This window comes from Homo sapiens, chromosome Y (assembly GCF_000001405.40).
Source record: "Homo sapiens chromosome Y, GRCh38.p14 Primary Assembly".
Lineage (NCBI taxonomy): Eukaryota > Metazoa > Chordata > Mammalia > Primates > Hominidae > Homo > Homo sapiens.
In genome coordinates this window covers 21,394,248-21,418,880 of record NC_000024.10, presented here as the reverse complement: position 1 = coordinate 21,418,880, position 24,633 = coordinate 21,394,248, and the positions used below count along the sequence as shown (strand labels likewise).

Below are 24,633 nucleotides of genomic sequence, written 5' to 3'. Positions count from 1 at the left end.
AAGAAAAGAAAATACAGCAGAATGTACCAGATGTATTTTATGTGTTGGACGTACATATATCTGTTAGCTTTTAGTGGCAGTCAGAGTGCAGTCTACATAATTTTATTCATAATAGATGCCTATGCATGATATAGTCACACATAAATATTATTTCTCTGAAGATTGAAATAGAAAGCAGGGAAACACAACACGGCACATATGCTGAATTACATTTAAGCAAGTGTGAATTATATAGTTAAATGATCTCTTCAAGGGGCTTCTTATCACTCTCTCACTGGGTAGTCTAAGGATTAATTAGTTAAAGTTCCTAGGCTCTTTCAAGCTAAGAAACACTATATAAGTGCTTTGCATTATCTTGGTAACACGAGAGTGAGGCATAAGTGATTTGCAACCTCATAGGCTCTTTGAAATGTGTGTCTAGCCCGATTGACAGTTTTTTCTAACAGTGTCTTATGGATTGGAAGGTGCTTATGAAATTTGAAGATGAAATTTGCTCTATTAAAATCATGCTAATCTGCAAAAGCAATTTTGTTCTATATATATGTAGAGAGAGGTTTCTCAAACTAGAAGGAAACTTTGGATATGATTTCGAAGGTAATATAATAAGGTAGAATTTTGACATCAATTATAACTTGTCTATTATCTTTTGATTGTCTCAGCTATTGCTCTCTTAATTAGTGCAACTAAAGTCTAGTTAATTTGCACAAAGGTAGCCATCCCATTTTATTAGCATGTTTCAGTTATGTATCACTGAAATAAGGTCCATTCTATAATGTAATATATTATTTCATTTAATAATTTATTTTACTTTTATTTCCATTTTTATTATAAATTCAGAGAGTACATGTGCAGGCTTGTTACAAAGGTATATTGTGTGATGCTGACGTTTAGTCTTCTATTGATCCCATCACCGAGATAGGGAACCTTGAAACCAATAGGAAGATTTTCAGCCCCTGCCCCTCTCCCTCTGTCCTCACTTTGGAGTCCCCAGTGTCTAATGTTCTTATCTTTATTTCTGTGTGCACCCAAGTTTTAGTTCCTATTCATATGTGAGAATATTCTATATTTGATATTCTGTTTCTTCATTAATTTGCTTAGGTTAATGGCCTCCAGCTGCATCCATGTTTCTTCAAAGGACATGATTTTTTCTTCTTATAGCTGTGTACAATTCCAGGGTTCATACGTACTACATTTTCTTCATCCTGTCCACCGTGGATGAGCTCCTAGGTTGACTCCATGTCTTCACTATGGTGATGAATATGAGAATTCAAGTGTCTTTTCGATAGCTTTAATGATTTATTTTCTATTGAGCATATACATAGTAATAGGATTGCTGGATGAAATGGTAGTTCTATTGTTAGTTCTTTTAGAAATCCCCAAACTGCTTTCCACTGTGACTGAACATTCTCACCACCAGGGTATGAGTTCCTTTTTCCCTGCAACCTTGCCCGCATATATTATTCTTATTATTATTATTTTGGCTTTTTAATAAAAATAGTCATTCTGACTGGTATCTTATTGTGAGTTTGATTTGGATTTCTCTGATGATCAGTGATGTTGAGCACTTTTGTTATGTTTCTTGGCCACTAGTATGTCTTAAGAAGGTATTTGAAATAAACATTCAATTATTTCCTGTACTAATACGTGAAATTCTGCCTGTGTCCTTCTCTCTTCTCCTACTACATGATTTTACATGGATAATCAGTCAAAAAATGTGATGTGCTGGTAAAATATTTTATTTCATACTTGTAAAATATTTTTCTTTTAAAAATACCACATTCTAATTTTTAATTTTTTTAATTCCTTGGAAGTGGCAATGGGGACGGGGGAGTTTTAAAGCAATTAGTTCACAAGATGATTCCAATGTAAATGGTATATTATTCATTATAAAATTAATTTGTTTTTGAGTAAAATTTAAAAAATATATACAAATACAAAATAATATAAGAAATACCAACTAACCCCACTTAAAAATAACAGCTATTGATACATTTCCTGTTCTATTTACATGACCTCTGGTTGTAATTGGAATATATGCCCTCAGGTTTGTTTCCTTTCTTCCATTTCCAGAGGCACCATTATCATGAACTTGTTATTACCTTTGTATTTTTTAAATTTATTAAAATATTTATTTGTAAATAATACTGGTGCTTTGTAAATTTTTAATATTTATGTGAATATTATAAGGTGTGTATTATTTTGCATATTTTTTGTTAACATTCTTGGTGAGAGCTGCCATTATTGATGGCATAGTTCTCAGTCTACTGAATTCTCATGTTCCACGATGTGTTTATTGAAATGCTACAATGAAAAACCTTCCCTATGCCTCCGAATACACAGGTGTGACAGTTTCTAATGAATACATTAGAAGAATGGCTGGACTGCAGTGTGTGTACCATTTTAACTTTGAGGGAATGAAATATTCTCATTAGCTCCCTGCACTGCCACTTTATTAATATTTTTCATCCATGCTAATTGGCTTAGCACTTGTCTTAGATTTCTCATTTTTAATGAAGTATTATTATGTTACATTGATTAGAACCAGCATGAGTGTTAAATGTTCATTTTGTTTAATAATTATAGCTATTGTGAGGCCTCTATCAGTACATGAGAAAAATAAAATGTTAACAGAATGATGACTTTAGTGGGGAGACAAATCTGAAAATCAACTTTATTTTCCTGACACAGTTCACACAAAACATAGATTCTGCTACTTTTTCAAGGAAGCATGCAGCAGAGTGAGTAATAATAAATCAATATGCACTGAGTACATGGTGCCTAGGGATGGGTAGTTCCATCCAATCTTGCCTGGTGATGGGAGAAGTATTTGACATAGTTTTTGTTTGTTTGTTTGTTTTGTATGTGGTCCACTTAATGACACTCCCAGATCATCATATGGTAGGTTTGGGGAAAATGAAGGAAATAATAGGTTAGGTATATGTAAATTATGTACTGGAAATAGCAGCTTAGCACACAGAGAGTTGTTAATTGGTCTGGCCACAGTGGTTTTATCATTTCTCATATACCCTACAACTATTTATTTATGGGCTGTTTGCTAATGACTATTTTTTTAAAAATCTGTTTCAGCAGCAATGACCTAAAAAAATGCAACTACATATTTAATTAAAAACTATTCCCTATTAATAGTTTTAATTAATTAAACTATTAATTAAACTAATTAATTAAACTATTTAACTAAATGATTTAATTACTTAAATTATTAATAAAAACAATTTCCCTTTCAATTAAATTATGGGTTGAAAAGTGTCATGGTGTAATCGTAAAGCCTTGTAGTCCATGTTGGGACCACAAGGCTAAAAGTGATATCCTGAAATCCAGAATATAGAGGATTGAGGGGAAAAACCAGCTGCTATTTCAGAAGGAAACACTTAGTTACATTAAGAAAACTATGCCTGAAGATGACATTTCAACAGGTTTAATATGTGAATTTGGAAAAAAATTAAGCATATAATTCTGCGATACTTGGCTTTTTATTTACATCACATTACTATTTTTTTAATCAATTGTGTATATTTTTTAATTTTAATTTTTCTGCAGTTAAGAAATATGCATGAGTAGTTGTTAGTATGTTAACTCCATTAACTACCAAAGAAATTCCAAAAGCATTGATTAATGCCATTTAGACGCTTCAAACAGAAAATTAAATGAAAAAATGGTTTGAATTTTTCATCAATCATTGGAACCAAAATAAAGCTGTTGAAATCTTATTGTTCCAGAAATGAAACATTGAACAATGTGATAAATAGTTTTTCATGTTCAGTTAAAAAACTAAACATTGTCGATGACTTTTATTGGTGACAAGAAGCAGCAATTTTGGAAAAGCTTGCAAGTAACTTCATTTAAACGTCAATATAAAATTAAAAGATATGCATTTTCCAGAAAAGAACTATGGATAATTATTGTTAAGAAACAGATTAATTCACATAAATATGTTCCAGAATTATTATTCTGCCTACTATTTCTAATATTTAAATAACAATGTAAAGAAGTTATTTTTCTGTTTTGCATCAAGATATGTAATTGTGGTTTTAAATTTTTGAAAGCATTTGATTTTCAAAAATAGTTGGAAGATAACTATTTCATAGATCTATTGATATAGTAAAAACAATTTGACTGTAAGGAAATAAATAATAAATTGATAAAACAATAAATTAAATAATAAATGATTTTATATATGTTAGTACTCTTTTATCCTAAAAAAACTTTCTATTGGGACAATAAAGGTTTTAGTCACCCTAATTTCAATAAATGTCACTAGATAGTCCTGTGGATTGATGGAAAAAAATTACCATTCCTTACATTCTTGACTGCACTCAGTATTATTATTTTAATAGTTGCCAAGCTAATGAACAAAAGTTGGTGCCCAATGTGGTTTTGATTTACGTCCCTGGATTACTAATGAGCTCAAGCATCTAGCCATTTTTCCTTGGTCATTTGACTTTATTCCTTTCTAAAAAGGATCTAACTATTTACCTGTACTGCTTTCTTCTACTGGGCTAGATTGTATATATGTTTTCTTGTATATTTGTAAGACTTATTTTGATTATTTTGGATACTGGTATTTTTATTTATATTGTCTTAGTCATTTTCTGGAGTTTTATAAACACCCAAGATAATTTTTAGAATTTATGATCTGAAGATTTTTCAAAAAGCTAACTCAGAAGTCATTTGTGGCCATAATGCTGACTTCAAATGAAAACATAATTTTGCCACTTTAGGAAAACATACTTTAAAGATACTAATTAGAAAGCACGGAAGTGCTCAATTCTATCTTTTTAATAAAAGTTGCATTTAAATAGTCATTTCAGCGAAATCCTTTACGCTTACAGTAAGAATCAATTATTAAAATTGATTACCTAGCTCCTAGATGGTTTTCTAAATATTTCACAATTGTCATTTTGGCAATAATCACTTAGCATACTTGTGAGAATTACAGGTTCTCTAGGTCTCATTTCAGATTATTGAACCAAGATTTTGAAGGAAAATAGCTAGAAGTATCTAGATATATATTTTATGACCCACGAAATTATTTGGGGATATTTATGAAACTCTGGTCTGACACATAAGAGAACGTAAAACAGCAATGACAAAGAAACAAGCAAACAAACAAACAAACAAAAAATGAACCAAAAAAGAATAAAAAAACACACAAAGAACATCAAGCCAGGAGTCAGGAGTAAATACCTTATCTTTTCCTAACTCCAGCCTTCTCAAGTCATATGGCCCTATATTCTTTTTCATTCTTGGTAAATACTACTCCAACTATCTAGCACTTCACGGTAGTAATTAACCTGTTAGTTTGCAATTTAGCAAAATACATGAAACCTATTTCTGAACATTTTCTTTAGAAACATATTTCTAGCTATATACCATGGGTCAGTTAATGCTATTTATGGTTATAAAATAGCAGTATTTAATAAAAATATTTGACCACTCTCACAAAATTACCTTCTGTAAATGTTCCACTGCTACTAAGATTACATTGACAATTCGGAGACTGTACTGACATCTTGAGTATCATATATTCAAGGAAGATTGGAAAGTGTCTTCATATGTCATTGTCTACAATGATAAGACTTAATACTTGTATTAACTTCCAAATTTTCCTGTGTTAAAGCAGGTGTGCAGGTATTGGATGACAGGTAGGCCACTGAAGCATAACTGTGGATTAAGTTGTAAAAGTTTTGGCGAAATTGCACATTAACAACACCTCCACAGAAAATTTAGATTTTGGCTCAGCTAGGAGATGTTGAAGAAAATGACTTTTTTTTATTCTTAATGATTCCCCAGCTGGTTCTTAAAGGGAGATAGCAAAATATTGTGGAAAGAGGTAGTTTTGTAATCTGAAATTAGACTTTAAGAGAAGTTAATTATTTTGAGACTCAAATTTCAGATGTATGAAGTGGGGTCCAAAATATCTAGGACCTGTGTGTGTAGTTGTAAGGATCATATTATAACAATTGATTCTATTTGCCTTGTACTTATCCGTAAAAAAAGACATCATTTAATTGTGTTACTTAGTATAGCTTTGTGTGGGCATTTTTAAGGGACATTTATCTCATGATAAATAAAATAGTAATACTGGCAGATAATAGTACTTACTCCAACATTGACATTGCAGAGCTCCAGCTGTTCTGTAAAGAAACTGACATGAATTCAAAAAAAAGTGGATGATTGAAGGTTACTTAGTGGCCATTCTTTATTTACTAAGACTGTAATTCTCGGAGAGGACACACAACCTGTGAAGAGTTGGATGTGAATGATGAAGTGTCATTGAGAAAAGGCTGCCTCAAGGATCATCCTCTACATTCCTAGCTTGAAATACAGGGTATTTGGTGCTGTGAATTTCTGAAATAGTGGAATACTGTACGAGGAAACATGTTTTGGGCATGAAATGAAGGTCTGGTTTTGGTATGTGGAGATGTAAGGCATGCAGTTGGATATGCCAAGTCTGAAGGCAGAACAAAGATCTGGCCTGAAGTTGGGAATTTCTTAATGGTCAGCATAGAAAGGGTGTTTTAGCCTTGAGAAAACCCAAGAGGATCCATGACTGAAATCTGAACAACTTCAACACCTGTAGATTTAGTAAAGATGCCAACAAAATACACAACAAGTTCATATTAAAATTAATAGGAAAAGACAAACTACTTAGTGAGAGGTATCCAGGCAACTAGCACTAGGTAGCTATTAGGTAGCAAATTTGGGAAAAAATAACATGTATAAAGAATCTTTGATCAGGTTTCCAAATATATAAAATAAAAACCACTTTCATGTTAGAAGACAATATACAAAATGATATTATGTTAATGGTACTATTTAATGCTAATAGACAAAAATGAAAATTATTGTGAATTAAATCAACAGACAATATATTTTCTATCACTGTCTTTTCTTCTCAATTTGTGTGTTGTTTTAATTCACTAAGCAATGACTCCTCTTAATTCCACTACTTTTTATTTAACACTGCATTTGTTTTTCATATGTGCAATATTACACTGTCCAATAGAGAGGAAATGCAGAATTTGGGCTATTATATCAGAAACACCTTTGCTTTTCAGATTTGGGCGTCTGGAATGTGTTTAATTTAAATATTTTCATCAGGCCTCGATTTTTCAGATTTTGATAATCACTTTTCCAAAATAAACAATGTCTGACCGTGATGACTACAATAAAAATAAAATTATGCTGGCTTTTAAGAAAATTATGTAAATTTGATGCTTTTTTTGGGGTGTTAGGACAGTGGAGAAAAAGTTTTACTCCTGTGGCCCAGGCTGGAGTGCAGTTGTGCGATCTCGGCTCACTGCAACCTCTGCCTCCTGGCTTCAACCGATTCTCCTGCCTCAGCCTCCCAAGTAGCTGGGATTACAGGCACCTGCCACCACACCCAGCTAATTTTTGAATATTTAGTAGAGATGGGGTTTCACCATGTTGACCACGTTGGTCTTGAACTTCTGACATCTGGTAATCCACCAGTCTTGGCCTCCCAAAATGTGGGGATTACAGGTGTGAGCCACCCTGCCCAGCCTTCAAATTATGTTTTCATACCCACTCACACAATTTATTGTAACTATCTGCATGTTCTCCTCAGGTGGGGGAAAAAGAGTATCAGAGTTCTTGAAGAATTTATGGAAGAGAGAATGGCAATACTACACAAGGTTTTAACCTATTCATAATACTGCATTTAGTGAATAAAAACATTACCTTTAAAATCCTACTAAAGTATTAAGTAAATAAATAAAATATATTATTTCAATAACTCTAAAATATGTGTCCATGAAGAAAATAGAGGGAGGCTTCAAAAACATAAACACATAAGTGAGGCCAGGCATGGTGGCCTGCATCTGTAAGCCCAGCATTTTGGCAGGACAAGGTGGGTGGATCACTTGAGGTCAGGAGTTGGAGACCAGCCTGGCATATATGATGAAACCCAGTCTTAACTAAAAATACAAAAATTAGCTGGACATGGTGGTATGTGCCTGTAATCCCAGCTCCACTTGAGGAGCTACCACTTGGGGCTCAGTTTGGGCTCAGCCACGGCCCTCTCGCCCTCCACGCGGATGTCCCCCCGAGGCCCATCTCTATGTCCTCCCAAAATGGCTCTCCGAGGCCCATCGTTTTCTGTTACAGGAGGCTGAGGCAGGGGAATCGCTTGAAGCTGGCAGGCGGAGGTTGAGGTGAGCCAAGATCCTGCCACTTCACTCCAGCCTAGGTGACAGAGCAAGACTCCTTCTAAAAACACACACACACACACACACACACACGCACACAGAAACACACAAAACTAACAAATGAAAATAAAAAATTTGTACTAGAAAAAGTACTCACAGTCAAACTCACATATCTAACAGAAAAAAATGTCCTTTAAAACAAATTTCCACAAGAGACAAATAAGAAAACAAATTTATCAGCTTGCATATAAAGTTCAAATAATAAACTGAAGAGAACCACAGGGTGAGAAAATAAAAATGTACAATTAAGTACCCTAAAAGAAGCTGAAAGTTACTCAAAAATGTTCTGGATTCTATGGCTCTACATTGCAAACATGACCACAAAATTTGCCAGGAGTAGAACAATCAAAATGTATCCTAAAACTCAATATACACTTCAATTCTCACATAAGAATTGTAATGGAAAACGGATGCGTCTGCAGCATTTCCATATGAATCAGAACAAACACTGTTTCTTTGTACTCATTGTTTCTCTATTCTAAGAAAATAACTTCCATATTAATATTAGGGGATGTGAAAAAGCAGGTCTTCATCATGATAAGTAACACTGGGTGTCCAAACCACTACTCAGGTAGGCCTTAAATCCCAGCCAGTTCCCCTCCCTGGACAAACACCAAAGGTCCCAGCCATTGTGCAATCTCTTTACATTTCCTCTCCTGTGAGCCCAGTGTGGTCTTCCAGATTCCCTGTGCAGTGGCCTCTCTTGTCCCTGGGGGGCAGGGCAGTGTGAGTGACGATGGCAGAGGGGAGAAAGCATGTCAGGGGACCCTCGGGTCATTGTAACAGAAAACAATGGGCCTCAGAGAGCCATTTTGGGAGGACATCTGCCTCGGGGGGACATCTGCCTGGAGGGCGAGAGGGCCCTGGCTGAGCCCAAACTGAGTCTCAAGTGGTAGCCAGCCTCAGGGCAGGGAAGGGAGCCCTCTAAGTTTGATGAGACAGCTACCCCTTGAGACTTGCTTCTCACCCTCTGACCTTAGACACTTATGCCTCTTAGGTGACTTAAGGTGCCCCAATCCTGAAATGAGGATGTTACAGTTCCCTGATGGCCATTTCTCCAACAGCCCATGGATGGCCTGGGATTGCTCACTGCAGTCACCTCCCTGAGGCTTGGATTCTCCACGTGGGGCACAACTCCAGGAATCAAAGGCCTCTCAGTCCCCAGCCCTAGACTGCTCACCTGGCCTCCTCTCTGTTCCCTCTCTAATGGCCTCCCTCTCTGGGGAAGTACTGCAGGGGATTGAGCCTGGCACACGCGGACTGTGAGCCCTTTGGAATTGTGGGCATGGAAGAGCAACACCCTAACTGGCATCCTGAGTATGGCAGGCTCTGGCTGATGATCTGGGGTACTGCAGAAGTGGGTACAGGACAGGTCAGGTCATGGCTCAAAGTCAGTTCCCCAGAGGCCAAGGCAAGGTTCTTTCCCATGATGTCCCACTGTGGCACCCATCTCAGGAATCCTGCCAGAACGTGGGCAGTCATGGTCAGCCAACCGACCGTAGAAGCTCAGGTAGAAAGTGTAGCGCCTGCAGCTGGAGGCTTGACCTTCATGATCCCACAACCACTGGACTGCAGTGGAATGAGACATCCTGTATCCTGGAAAGAGAGATGTCAGAAAGGTTCATGACAGACATACCCTCCCACACATCAGCTTCCCTACCATGCTGGGAGGCACTCCTTACTGAGGAGTCCAAGGCAATACTCCTGAACGATAACTTCATTGTGGAAATAAAGGTTGTGACAAAAGGAAAACTTCGTCCTACCGTCGGTACCTGGGATGGCTGAGTTCCTCCCCTTACCTGGCCAAGATGGAGAAAGAAGACGAACTCAAAAGACCATTTCATGTAGCTGGGCTGAGGTGACCTGCTAGCTGGAGTGAAGCATGTATTTCCCCTTCCTAGCTCTCCCGCTGAGACACCCCGGGTCCGAGGGGGATCTCACCCTGACCCAGACAACGGACCCCTCCCGCAGACCCAGGCTCCTTAGCCTGACCTGCAAATCTATCATGTAGCTTAGCAGGACTGACTTCATCATCGTTTGTGATCCCGGCCAACCAACACCTGGGTGTGACGCACAATCTGCCTCTGGTCAAGGAGCCACCAGATGATTTGGTGAGCGTGCAGGTGTGTCCAGAATTGGTGGGTTCTTGGTCTCACTGACTTCAAGAATGAAGCCGCGGACCCTCACGGTAAGTGTTACAGCTCTTAAGGTGGCGCGTCTGGAGTTTGTTCCTTCTGATGTTCGGATGTGTTCGGAGTTTCTTCCTTCTAGTGGCTTCGTGGTCTCGCTGGCTCAGGAGTGAAGCTGCAGACCTTCGCGGTGAGTGTTACAGCTCATAAAAGCAAGTGTGGACCCAAAGAGTGAGCAGTAGCAAGATTTATTGCAAAGAATGAAAGAACAAAGCTGCCACAGTGTGGAAAGGGACCTGAGGGGGTTGCCAATGCTGGCTCGGGCAGCCTGCTTTTATTCTCTTATCTGACCCAACCCACATCCTGCTGATTGGTAGAGCCGAGGGGTGTGTTTTGACAGAGCACTGATTGGTGCGTTTACAATCCCTGAGCTAGATACAAAAGTTCTCCATGTCCCCATCAGATTAGTTAGATACAGAGTATGGACACAAAGGTTCTCCAAGTCCCCACCAGAGTAGCTAGATACAGAGTGTTGATTGCTGCATTCACAAACCTTGAGCTAAACACAGGGTGCTGATTGGTGTGTTTACAAACCTTGAGCTAGATACAGAGTGCCAATTGGTGTATTTACAATCCCTCAGCTAGACATAAAGGTTCTCCAAGGCCCCACCAGAGCAGCTAGATACAGAGTGTCAGTTGGTGCACTCACAAACCCTGAGCTAGACACAGGGTGCTGATTGGTGTGTGTACAAACCTTGAGTTAGATACAGAGTGCCGATTGGTGTATTTACAATCCCTGAGCTATATATAAAGGTTCTCCATGTCCCCACCAGACTCAGGAGACTAGCTGGCTTCACCCAGTGGATCGCGCACTGGGGCTGCAGGTGGAGCTGCCTACCAGTCCCACGCCATGCGCTTGCACTCCTCAGACCTTGGGTGGTCGATGAGACTGGGCGCCGTGGAGTAGGGGGCGGCGCTCCTGAGGGAGGCTCGGGCCGCACAGGAGCCCACGGAGGGGGTGGGGGGCTCAGGCATGGAGGGCTGCAGTTACGGACCCCTGCCCCGCGGAAAGGCAGCTAAGGCCCGGCGAGAAATTGAGCACAGCGCCGGTGGGCTGGTACTGCTGGAGGACCCAGTACACCCTCCGCAGCCACTGGCCCGGGTGCTAAGCCCCTCATTGCACGCGGCTGGCAGGGCCGGCAGGCTGCTCTGAGGGCAGGGCCCGCCAAGCCCACGCCCACCTGGAACTCCAGCTGGCCCGCAAGCGCCGCGCGCAGCCCGGGTTCCCACTCGCGCCTCTCCCTCCATACCTCCCTGCAAGCTGAGGGAGCCGGCTACGGCCTTGGCCAGCCCAGAAAGGGGCTCCCACAGTGCAGTGGTGGGCCGAAGGGCTTCTCAAGTGCCGCCAAAGTGGGAGCCCAGGCAGAGGAGGCACGGAGAGCGAGCGAGGGCTGTGAGGACTGCCAGCACGCTGTCACCTCTCACAGGGAAACACCCTGCAACTTTGCAAGAGCACGGAGAGTGTGGGGCAGGGCTACCCCGCAGGCCTTTGGTCTGGCACCCTCCCTTCCTGGTCCTCTGTCTGGTGTTGGCGGGCACCTTCGCAGCTGTGGTGGTCTTGGCGGCGGGTGGAGGCAGGCCAAGACAGCCTGCTCTGACCAGGGACAGGCACAGAAAAAGTGGGGAGGGGATTGCCGGCGGGGTGTTGTGGTGTGAGGCAGCTACTTGCTCAGGGTTCCTGAGCTGTGGGAGGCCCTCATGTGCTGGGTGCTGGACAGGCTCTGCTGCTGTCCGTGTGTGCGGTGTCCTCTTCTCTTGGTCTCACTGAGGGGTGGGCGTGTCCACCCGAGGGAACCGCTGTGAATAGAAGTAGCTGCAGGGCTGTGCCTGACTCTCTCCATGAGACTCTAGTGGTTTCATGGGAGGTTGTATATGCTCATGGCCTAAACATCCTTGGATGCAGCACTGGCAGAGGGAAGAAATCGTGTCTGAGGAGCTGGTGCCTGCCTTGCAGAGGACAGCAGCCCCGTGCACGGTGAACCCGAGTATTGAGCACCTTGTGTTTCTAGGATAAGCCTGCTGGACACAGGTACCGGGAGCAGGGGTATTTCCATGGCTGGCCTGGGCGCGCAGATTCCCCTTCCTCCAGGGATTTTCCCAGTGAAATGTGTCCTTCAACTTTCTGCTGTTTATGAAGGGTCCTTTGAGGTGCTATTCTCCCTTGTGAGTGCTGTGCTTGGCTTTCTGTCCCTATAACGTGCCCTCAGGGTGCCCGCAATTAAGCTGCCCTTCTATCTGCATGAATCTGTCCTTGGTTCCCCTCGTTGTCCCCCATGTCCTGAATCCTGGCTGAGCCCCGGTGCCTACCACCTTGTTTCCCCCAACCCCGCTCCTGGGAGCTCGGCGCCCACCCACCTGTCAGCCATCCCGAATTGGCAGCTGCAAGGATATGGCTCTGACCCAGAAGCCGTGGATGCCCTGCGGCCTGGGACATTCACTGGAGCCCAGCTCCAAGTGAAGGACGTCCAGCGAGTTGGTTGCTGGCCGGGGCGTCCTGGGGCCAGGGCCAGGCTGTGCCTGCGGGTCCTCCTGCTGCCGCTCCACATTGGCCTCCTCCTTGGCCACCACCTCTATCTCTGCCATGATGTCATCCCCCACTAGCCACTAGCATGCCTCCTCCCCCAGGGTTGCCTCCCTGCTCTGCGCACAGGCTGCCCTTTCCTGCAGCACCTCCCCCTTAACATGGTGCCCTCCTTGAGGCTCCCACAGACTAAGGCCTACACTGCCCATCTCATGTCCTTGGCACCCCTAGACTCTAGAGGAAGCTCCCGGAAGGGCCCCTGGGCCTTGCCCTTCTGAGAAACATGTGCCACACCCACGTGGATACAGGGTTCCTGGGGAGCCCCGCAGGGCCCACAGTCCGCCACACTCACCATGGGGCCCAGATACCCAGCAGGGTTAGCTGTACACAGTAGCCCTGGAGTCGGAGGCCGAGGCCCTGGGCTTCCAGAGCCTCACTGGCAGGCACGACGGCCACTGCGGCGCTTGCGGGAGGATCTGTGCCAGCGAGGCAGTGCACACGGGTTATCGCATTGGCAACCATGGCGGCTGGCCTCCCGTGTGCCCAGGGGCACAGGATGAGAGGTCCTTTGGAACGCCCCTGTGAGTACAGCATCCTCAGGGAGGAAGCATGGAACTCGGAGTCTGTGTTTGCCTAGACCTGATAGAGTCCTTGTGGGGTTTCAGCTTCTGGTGCAGACGAATTCCACCCCAGCAACTTACCCGTCGACTTTTCTCCCAGGCACCCGCCCTGCCCCACTCCCCTCCAAGCCACCGCAGCTGCGGCGTCCTCGCCTGGTTCTTCACTCTCCCCTCTGGATCTGCAGTATTTAGTACCATCAGCCTAACCTGCCTAATGAAGTAAGATGTTTCATATGTTCCCTGTGGGTTAATGTCTTGCCACACTCAGGATGCCAGTTAGGGTGTAGGTCTTCTATGCCCACAATGCCAAAGGGCTTACAGTCCGCGTGTGTCGGAATCCTCCGCCGCCAGGCACAAGCAGCTTCTCAGAGGAGGCTTACCGCGGGAGGATGGAGCTGCCTGCCAACTAGGGGCAGGGTGCCTCGTAAGACGCCTACAGTCCTCGCAATAACTGGTCGACGCCCCCCGCCCTCGCAATGATTGGCCGCTGGAGGTAGGCGGGATTTCCGGGCACGGCTTCTGGCGTCCTTCCCCCTCAGGCCAGTTCCAGCAGTCCTTCCCGCAGTTGGCCCCGTGGTGTCCCAAAGCCGGATGCATACGACATGAGAGCCGGGCGACCCTGAGGCTGTTTGTCCTGCTGAAAAGCACGTGTATTTTCTGTTTCTCTGGACAGGTTGGTCTCTTGATAAGAACAGAAAAGTTTTGCGATTTTATCTGTAAAAGGGGATGGGTTTTCCATGTGAGGGTGTTGAATTATAGGAGGAGACAGTGGGGAGAGAACTCCTTAGTGCTATTAAGAAACTCATTTTTGTTAAACTCATTAATTTTCTTGAGGATTCTACCTTTAACTGTCGGATATGTCCGACATGTGGGCAAGTTGTGGGAGATGGTGCTAAGGCGCCATGTGCACTTTTTATTAAACAGGGTTTTCTCTGTGAATGTGGTCATCATTCAAAATACAGGCAATATATTTAACCAAGGCTATTAAAAACTTATACTTTTAGTCAGCGCATGTCACATGTCTGATTTGCTTGACGGGAATTACCAAATTTTGACATAAATTGTATTACGTTAGTTTATGTAGAAGTCTGGGGCCGTAAATAATCTGAGTTTCAGTTTGCCTCTGTAAAGCCTGTAATTGTCTCCTTCGTTGTATGACAGTATTTGAAACATGTTTCATGTGTCTTTGGCACCATAAATAATTTAAACCGAATAAGTAGGTGTAATCCAGATAAATGGTGTTAGATAGCCGAAAACTGGAACAAAATAGATGCGCTTAAGTTATTCTGTTAACCTGGCACACTGCCTTACTCCTGTAGTCCTAGCATTTTGGGAAGTGGAGGTCGGAGGATGGCTTGAAGTCAGGAGTTTGAGACCAGCCTGGGTAACGTAATGGACTCTTTCATTGCTATTTTCGCATCAGGGACTGGTTTAGTGGAAGTCAGTTTTTCCTCAGAGAAAGGTTGCGCAGGGGAAGAAGGCGGCGAGGTGGACAGGTTTGGGAGTGGGGGCTGGCGGCAGGTCTCCGAGGGGCACGTGGTGGGGCGGGTCTTCCGGTAGGAGCAATGTGACAGAGGCCAGGTGGGGCAGTGAGGCTGTCACGGGGACAGGGAGGGCCAGCGAGGGAGTAGGGAGGATGGTTTCCGGATAAAACTGTACCACCTCAGGTCATCCTCAGGCGTTACATTCTCCACAGACAGGTATTGCAGGTCATCCTCCGGCATCACATTCAGGCCACAGATAGGTACGGGTTGAAGGCCAGGATTCAGGGATCCTTGACCTATTGTATATTTCAAATCACTTAAAGATGGTAAAATATTTAAAATGTTCTCCTCCTAGAACATTTTAATTTGCTTGATTTAATCTTTTATCCACATATCCCGCTGGGCGTGGTGGTTCACCCTTGAAATGCCATCACTCTAATAGTCCCAAGCCAGCAAATCACTTGAACCCAGGATTTGGAGACTGGCTTGGGCAATATGGGGAAACGCATGTCTATTTAAAAAAAACACAAAAAATTTCCCAGCTCTGGTAAAAAGCCCTGGTAGTACCAGCTACTTGGGAAGCTGAGTTTTGGGAAGATCATTTGAGGCTGGGTGGAGGAGGTGGCAATGAGCAGTGCATTTTGGCAACAGGGGATATACATCTCAAGAAAGAAAATACACAAAACCTCACACTGTACCTCATAAATATATAGTTTTCAAATAAAATTATTTAAATGGGGCACTCCTTCACATTACAACTTAGGAAAATTACAATAGCTTTTCTTATCTAAGTTTTAGAAATGAGATTTTGTCAGGTCCATATTAAAATGCAGCATTTATCTGTGAAGTCAGTGCCCCTTTTGCTCTGTATGTTAGAAATTTTACATATTTATTTATTTTTTTTCTTTTTTTTCCTTTTATTATTATACTTTAAGTTTTAGGGTACATGTGCACATTGTGCAGGTTAGTTACATATGCATACATGTGCCACGCTGGCGCGCTGCACCCACTAACTGGTCATCTAGCATTAGGTATATCTCCCAATGCTATCCCTCCTCCCTCCCCCTACCCCACAACAGTCCCCAGAATGTGATGTTCCCCTTCCTGTGTCCATGTGATCTCATTGTTCAGTTCCCACCTATGAGTGAGAATATGCGGTGTTTGATTTTTTGTTCTTGCGATAGTTTACTGAGAATGATGACTTCCAATTTCATCCATGTCCCTACAAAGGACATGAACTCATCATTTTTTTTGGCTGCATAGTATTCCATGGTGTATATGTGCCACATTTTCTTTATCCACGCTATCATTGTTGGACATTTGTGTTGGTTCCAAGTCTTTGCTATTGTGAATAGTGCCACAATAAACATACATGTGCATGTGTCTTTATAGCAGCATGATTTATAGTCCTTTGGGTATATACCTAGTAATGGGATGGCTGGGTCAAATGGTATTTCTAGTTCTAGATCCCTGAGGAATCGCCACACTGACTTCCACAATGGTTGAACTAGTTTACAGTCCCACCAACAGTGTAAAAGTGTTGCTATTTCTCCACATCCTGTCCAGCACCTGTTGTTTCCTGACTTTTTAATGATTGCCATTCTAATGGTGTGAGATGGTATCTCATTGTGGTTTTGATTTGCATTTCTCTGATGGCCAGTGATGATGAGCATTTTCTCATGTGTTTTTTGGCTGCATAAATGTCTTCTTTTGAGAACTGTCTGTTCATGTCCTTTGACCACTTTTTGATGGGGTTGTCTGTTTTTTTCTTGTAAATGTGTTTGAGTTCATTGTAGATTCTGGATATTAGCCGTTTGTCGGATGACTAGGTTGCAAAAATTTTCTCCCATTTTGTAGGGTGCTTGTTCATTCTGATGGTAGTTTCTTTTGCTGTACAGAAGCTCTTTAGTTTAATTAGATCCCATTTGTCAATTTTGTCTTGTGTTGCCATTGCTTTTGGTGTTTTAGACATGAAGTCCTTGCCCATGCCTATGTCCTGAATGGTATTGCCTAGGTTTTCTTCTAGGGTTTTCATGGTTTTAGGTCTAACGTTTAAGTCTTTAATCCATCTTGAATTGATGTTTGTATTTAAAGTAAGAAGTACTAAAAAGATGTCAGCCTCTGAAAGGGAATTTCACTTGAGTTTTCAACATGGTATGTAATAAATTTTTATATTTTTAGCTTATTTATTTTTATCTAAATATAGATTTTTCTTTGACCATTTGCAGCACAATGGTAGAAGCAGATCATCCGGGCAAGCTTTTCATTGGTGGCCTCAATAGGGAAACCAATGAAAAGATGCTTAAAGCAGTATTTGAGAAACATGGTCCCATATCAGAAGGTAACCCTTAAAACCGTGTGTGCGTGTGTGTGTGTGTGTGTATTTTCATATGTATATTTCAATATGTATATTTAAAATATGTCTGTTATATATATGTTTTGAAAAAACATGTTTTTCAAAGTTCATTGTATACCTACATTAAAATGCCTTATTGTTTTTAAACTCTTATTTTGGGGTTATCTATTTGATATTTGGAAAATTCTCATAGTAGCAGGTTAAGGATCTGTGGTAAGGATCACCTACTACTTAGAAACGAAAATAAGGAAAACTAAACGTGTTGTGGAGTTAGGGAACAAACTGGAACAAAATAGGCTAACTATAGGGGTGACCAGTATCAAGTATAATACTAGTGATGTGAAATGCAATTATTTTTGATTTGATGTAACTTTTAGATGGTTAGTACCTTGACGCGTCCATTATATCAATGTAAAATGTTTTCATATATTTTAGTTCTTTTGATAAAGGATCGAACCAGCAAATCCAGAGGCTTTGCATTTATTACTTTTGAGAACCCTGCAGATGTTAAGAATGCTGCCAAAGATATGAATGGAGAGGTAGAGTCCCTTATTAATAATATTCTAACTCTCTTCTTCAGTTAACAGTATTTCTAGGTCTTTTTAGAATTATGTAACTTTTGAAGATAGTAGAGTGCCATATGAAGACATCCTCTTCTTTGTGCCATATACATTCAACTGTAGTTGGAAGGGTATTGGAATTAACCTTATATAAATTAATATATGGTAAACTTTTTCTATGTTTGTATTTCAATATAAGTGTAAATAGATCTTCAAAGGTTTTGAAGAGCTTTAAAACTTATAAGGGACCCTCATGTAAATGAAAGGAATAAGTCAACATTTATTACATGCCATTAATGCAATTACTTCCAATTCATGGAAATACTTCTAGAGCACAGAAAAACTGTGGATAGACATCTAGACAGACTCACAAGAAGGAAAGATTCTCTCCCGTTTTCTGAAAATATATTTTTGAGAAAGTGGGTTTAAATAAGACCTTTACATTTAAGGAAGTGTTAAGTACTTGAAAATAGAAAAAAATAGGAGAACATTGAAGTTGGATAACACAAGAAGTAACTGGCATTTTTTCCCCATCCTTGCTCTTTTCTCCTAAGGACGTTTTTTTCCTGTCACCAGAGTGATGTATGTAACATGAATACCTAATTACTCATTTCCCCAGTGTGTTTGAGGATTTGTTTTGATCCAAACATTGGTCTCTTGTCCTATTGAGTCTTAAATCTAGGGATTGTGTATTTACTAAAGCTTTAAACTTTTATGTAATTCTGTTAACTCTTGAATTCCTTTACATTGTGTCAAGTTCATTCCATTCTGGGCCCTTTAGAACTTTTTTGCTTTATAACATGATCCTAATCAGGCTGGGCTTGGTGGGAGCAGTGTGATATTAGTCCTTTTAAGAAATTCATTTTTGTTAAACTCATTGATTTTTCTTGAGGATTCTACCTTTAACTGTCGGACATGTCTGAAATTTGGGCAAGTTGTGGGAGATGGTGCTAAGGCGCCATTGTTTTTATGTGCACTTTTTATTAAAGCCTGTAATCCCAGCACTTTGGGAGGCCAAGGCAGGCATATCATGATGTCAGGAGAACGAAACCATCATGGCCAACATGGTGAAACCCTGTCTCTACTAAAATACAAAAAATCCACCGCGAGTGGTGGTAAGTGCCTGTAGCTCCAGCTACTTGGTAGGCCGAGGCAGGGGAATCAGTTGAACCTGTGAGGCGGAGGTTGTAGTGAGCTGAGATCATGCCACTGCCCTTCAGGCTGGCAACAGAGCAAGACTCTATAGCAAACAAATATAGCAAATTAAAAAAATGATAAATAACGTTATCCCAATCTGTTTTTAGCCTCTGTTCCTCTTTATGCTATCCCCAAAATGCTTTTTTGGACTTCTTAAGAATTATCCTTCCCTGTGTGTGTCTCAAAAATAACAATTTATGCTTCAAAAACCACTTAGATTTCATATTTTCTTCCTCATTGCGTATTGTAGGTATTTTGTACTTGCTGTACCATGTATTAATCTATTGATTGTGAAATTGTATATAGTGCATATTTAAGTCTTCCTAGTTGCTTTTATTTCTGTTACATCTAGCACATTTCCTGGCACATAGCAGAAAGTACATTTTTATTCACTCTTATAAATTAGTATTTCAAGCTGTGGTAGAAACCAAGAGTAGCTTTTGGTTCATGGCTTTGTGGTAACTCTGGAGATAATTTTGACTTCTGTATAGTAATCTATGATAATTTCCTTTCTCCCCCTAGTTTTCAAGCAAAAGAGCAGGTAATTTGTGTAGAGTTTTTGTCTGTTTGTTTTTTAAAATGGCGTCTCACTGTGTCAACAGGCTGGATTGCAGTGGGTTGATCTTGGCTCACTGCAACCTCTGCCTCCTGGGTTCAACTGATTCTCCTGCCTACAGGCCACGCCACCATGCCCACCTAATTTTGCTACTTTGAGCGAGAGAGGGTTTCACCCTGTTGGCCAGGATGGTCTCTATCTCTTCATCTCATGAACCACCTGCCTCGGCCTCCCAAAGTGTTGGGATTACTGGTGTGAGACACCACACCCAGCCAATGTTATTTCTAAACTACTTAATCTCACATATTTTGTTGTGTAAAAATAAATAGGAATGTTATGTGCACATAAATGTTGAGAAGGCCAATAAAGGAGGTTCTTAGATTTTCAAGGTGAATAAAGAGTTTAAGGAATTTTGGATGACTTTGGAACACTGGGGAGGAAGCAGCCATGAGCAAATCTGGGCAAATATTTTGGGCCCAGAAATAAAAAAAGAAGTTTCAAGGTAGAAACAACGGGCGACGTGGCTGCAAGAGGTCTTGTAAGGGATTTAAGATCTTCCCCTAAATAACAAAATCCATGTAATTTTCAAATCGAGTTATTAGCTGAACTGTAAATCAATAATTAAGATTGTTCTAGGATGTTTAAACATTAACACAATATCCTTAGTGTAAGGTTGGAAATTATTTGAGGAGAGAATGTAGTACTAAGCAACATGATGTGAGCAGTAGGATTGAATAGAAGTAATATTTTTGAGAAGGACAATTGTAAGATTGCAGACTGAACAGAAGAAAGCAAGACAAGAAACAGAAGTTTTCAGCAAAGAAAGTAAGCAGAACAAATTAAAATTCTTACTTAGTCCTCCATCCTAATATGGAGGAAATTAAAAACTGACATTTTCAATTTTACATTTCATAAGTAGAGTATTGGTGAAGTCAGGTATTTATTGACTTCAGGATACCCAAGCCAACACATTTCCATTGGAAAATTAGCTAGTGAACATATCATAGGTGAAAGGCTGACCTTTAAGGAATAGCACTGTGAAGAGTATATTAAAGGATAATTTTTTCTATTTTGAAATAGCAACCATGTTGTAATGACCCCTTTAATAGTGTTGTTTATTGCAGTAAAAGTAAATCTTGGCTATCATTAGAAAGTTTTCACTAGTACATTTTAATTTGTCAACATTTAAGATAGAGCCAACCACTTAGAGAGAAAGGAGAACTTTTATGTAAAAAATTAGCATGCAGTCGTTCAAAGGTAGCAGTATTTGTGTTTGTGAGGTAGATTGAACTATGTGGGAAAATTTACCTTCCTCAGCTGAGAAAGGTCAATGTATGTAAACTTTAAAATTGTGAAGATTTGGTGGTTTTACATGTTTTCCCTATGTCATTTGTAGTCATCAGTAATTCATATGAAAAGGAAAATAGTAACTAAGTAGTTCTTAACCATTACAAATGAACTTTTACCTAAGAATTAATGTTTGCCTTCAGCTTCATTAGAAGAACTGGCCTTGTGGGAGCCATGGGATTCTCCAAAGCCATAAGAAATATTCACAGTGTCATGACTGTCTAGTAATTTAGGAAACAAAGAATGGAGTCATAGAAGAAATAATTTTAAAAAGTTGTTTGAGAGAAGAGAAAATAGTGTTTCAGATTTGGTGTTCTTTACATAATGTTCCAACATTTTAATGTTAAAGGTCTCGTATCATATGGAAGAGGGAATTAGGGAGGTCCTCCACTCAGAGAGACAATCTCTTCCTGGAGAAATGACCATATGTCTCTAAGAGATGACGGTTATGCAACTAAGGATGGGTAAAGGAAAAAATTTTAAAAAGTTGATTATTTTTGTTTTGATGATGAAATAAACATAACAAAATTAATTATTATAAGGTAAACAGTTAAGTGACATTTAATACATTCTATGTCATGCAACAACTACCTCCATCGAGTTCCAAAACATTTTCATGACTCCAAAATAAAACTCCAACTACCAGTTAAGCAGTTCCTTCCATTTTCTCCCTTCCCTCAGCTGCTAGCAAACACCAGTCAGTGTTCTGCCTCTGAACTTACTGTTGTGGGCATTTAATGTTAATCGGCTCAAACACTACACGACTTTTTGTATCTCTCTCCTTTCCTTTTCCATGATGTCCTGAAGGTTCATTTACATCATAGCACTTCACTCCTTCCACAAGCTGTTAACTCATTATTTTATTTGGGTTGTTTCCACCGCAGTATTTCTATGCATGAATATTTGTTTGAGTACACGTATTCAATTCTGGGTGTATATGAGTGGAATTGCTTGGTAGTATGATAATTATATTGTTTTCTTGAGGAACCACGACATTTCTCCATAGTAGCTGCATCATTTTCCATTCCAACTAGCATTGCATCAGGGTTCCAATTTATCTGCATCCTGTCAAACACTTGCTATTTCCTGCTTTTATTGCCATTCCAGTGTGTGTGTGTGTGTGTGTGTGTGAATTATGGTATCTCATTTTGGATTTGAAGTGCATTTTCTGAATCACTGATTGTGAGTATCTGTTCATGTGCTTTTTGGGCATTTGCCTATTTTATTTGAAGAAATATCCATTTAGATTTTGGACCTTTTAATTTTGTTTAAGTTGCAACTTAGTTACGTTTTGGATACTAGAAGTTGAAAATTTAAAATGTGTTGCTTAAACTTATGCACGCAGAAATCATCCAAGCTCCTGAGAAACTAGGGATTATGCTCCACCATCTAGAGACTATGCATATCATGATTATGGTCATTCTAGTTGGGATGAACATTACTCTGGAGGATATAGGTACTATAACTTTTTCTGGACTTGTCAAAAAGATTTCTTAAGTTATTCATTCCAGCTAACATTGTATTAGGGTTCCAATTTATCTACATACTCTCAAACACTTGCTACTTCCTGCTTTTTAAAATGTAATGCCATTCTAGTGTGTGTTTGAAGTCTGGAATCTCATTTTGGATTTGAAATGCATTTTATGAATCACTGATTATTAGTATCTGTTCCATGTGTTTTTGGGCATTTGCCTATTTTATTTGGAGAAATATCTTTTTAGATGTTTGGCAATTTAATTGTGTTTAAGTTGTAATTTAGTTATATGTTGGATAGTAGAAGTTGAAAATTTTAAATTTGTTGCTTAAACTTACTCACACAGAAATCATCCAAGCTCCCAAGAAACCAGGGATTATGCTCCACCATCTAGAGGCTATGCATACTGTGATAATGGTCACTCTAGTCGGGATGAACATTCCTCTAGAGGATATAGGTACTATAACATTATCTGGATTTATCAAATAGATTTCTTAAATTGTTTATTCTGACATTAAAAATTTTTTTTTTCAATTTAGTGATAGTGGTGGCTACGACGAAACCCGTGGTAGAGATCATTCTGATCGTACAAGTGGAAGTTCTTACAAAAATGAATTTCAGGGATATGGTAAGAGTCCAGGATGGATTTTTAAATTAAAGAATTTTATGTAATAGTCCAGATCATTATTTTAATGAAATTCTAAGGAAAATTATAAAGGACAATATAACATATTTAAATATTGAGTAGTCTAACAGTATAAAGTGTAGGGAACGATATGAAGGAGAGAACTTCATGTGCAGAAAAAGTGACTCAACGTTTACTTCAGAATTAAATTTGTTAAGCTTCAAAATACTACTCTTACACTTCTTTTAAATAAAACCTTCTGACCAATGCAGGCTTAATTAATATCTATCCTGTCAACAAGGGCAGAGGAAAGCAGATATTTCCAAATAGGACTTTAACTAATTCATCCTTTAGTGGTGGCAGTAAAAGTGTTTAAATATAGTCCCACATATTATTTTATCAACCCTGCAGGGACCTCTCATGGTGCACCACCTGCAAGAGGGCCTCGGATGTCTTATGGTGGAAGCAGCCACCCTGATTATAACAATACACGAGATACATAGGGCAGAAGTCAAGAAAGTTACTCAAGAAGCTGCGGTGATTTTTACTTTTGTGGTCATGAGCACACTGGCAGAAAAGACCAAAGGAATCCACCTTCTCTGGGTAGGGTTCACCCTGCTCGTCGTGAAGCATATGGTAACTGAAGTTATGTGGCATCTACAGTAGATGGTCGGGAAAGTCGATCTGAAAAGGAGACTGAAGCAGATATTAAAGCAAGTATTCCAAATAATAGTTATTGCATACCAAACCTTGTTTGCAAATCGAAAATTGAAATGTTATTTCTGCATTGTTACCTGCATATTACTAAAAGAAGCATATGGGCTTTGTGGAGACAGGTAGATACTAACTTCCTCCATGAAGGTTTTGAGGTATTCAAAGGAAAAATAATTTTCTTCAAAGTAATTTCATACTTGTTAATGCTATTTGAAAACTATCTGTTTAGATGTAATATCTACATTAAAATGTTCAGAATAAAATTTTACAGTAATAGAAAATTCCTGATGTTATTGGTTAGCTGCACATGCTTAAAAGAAAATTCAATAGGAGAGTAAATTCTGTTGTTTGCTGAACATTTTCCTTTGTTTCTTTGAACATAAATAGATACAAAATTAGGCATATGTTACATCTCCCTTGCAAGCGGCACAAGTTTTCTAATTAGGCTGTTTCTCTTTAAAAACTTACAAGCTTAAAATGTTTGAGAAGCCTTCAGAAAGACTACAAAACTGTCTGCCTCACCATAAAACGTTTATCTTTTAGAGGAATAGTACAGGTCAAAGGAAATAAATAGATGGGGTTGATACTAAAGTTTAAAACATCTGGAACATTCTACTTGAAGCGTTCTGTGACTGAAAGAGGATATGATAATGAAACCTTTTTTTTTTTTAACCTAAATCAAAACTGAACTAGCTAAGTTTCTGAAGTGCATAGCATGATGAAATTAAATGTTCCTAGTTT

General features: G+C 40.1%; 1 long non-coding RNA gene and 1 pseudogene across 2 annotated transcripts in view; both read left to right on the top strand.

Moving 5' to 3' along the window:
• PRORY (PRORY Y-linked lncRNA) overlaps window positions 1-24,633 on the top strand; it is a 69,942-nt gene that overhangs the window by 32,966 nt on the left and 12,343 nt on the right. The gene's annotated exons all lie outside the window — the stretch shown is intronic.
• On the top strand, window positions 17,319-23,733 carry RBMY2EP (RNA binding motif protein Y-linked family 2 member E, pseudogene; annotated as a pseudogene). The gene is made up of 5 exons (NR_001574.2): window positions 17,319-17,404; window positions 17,855-17,958; window positions 22,900-23,010; window positions 23,093-23,181; window positions 23,590-23,733. The product of NR_001574.2 is annotated as an RNA binding motif protein Y-linked family 2 member E, pseudogene (transcript).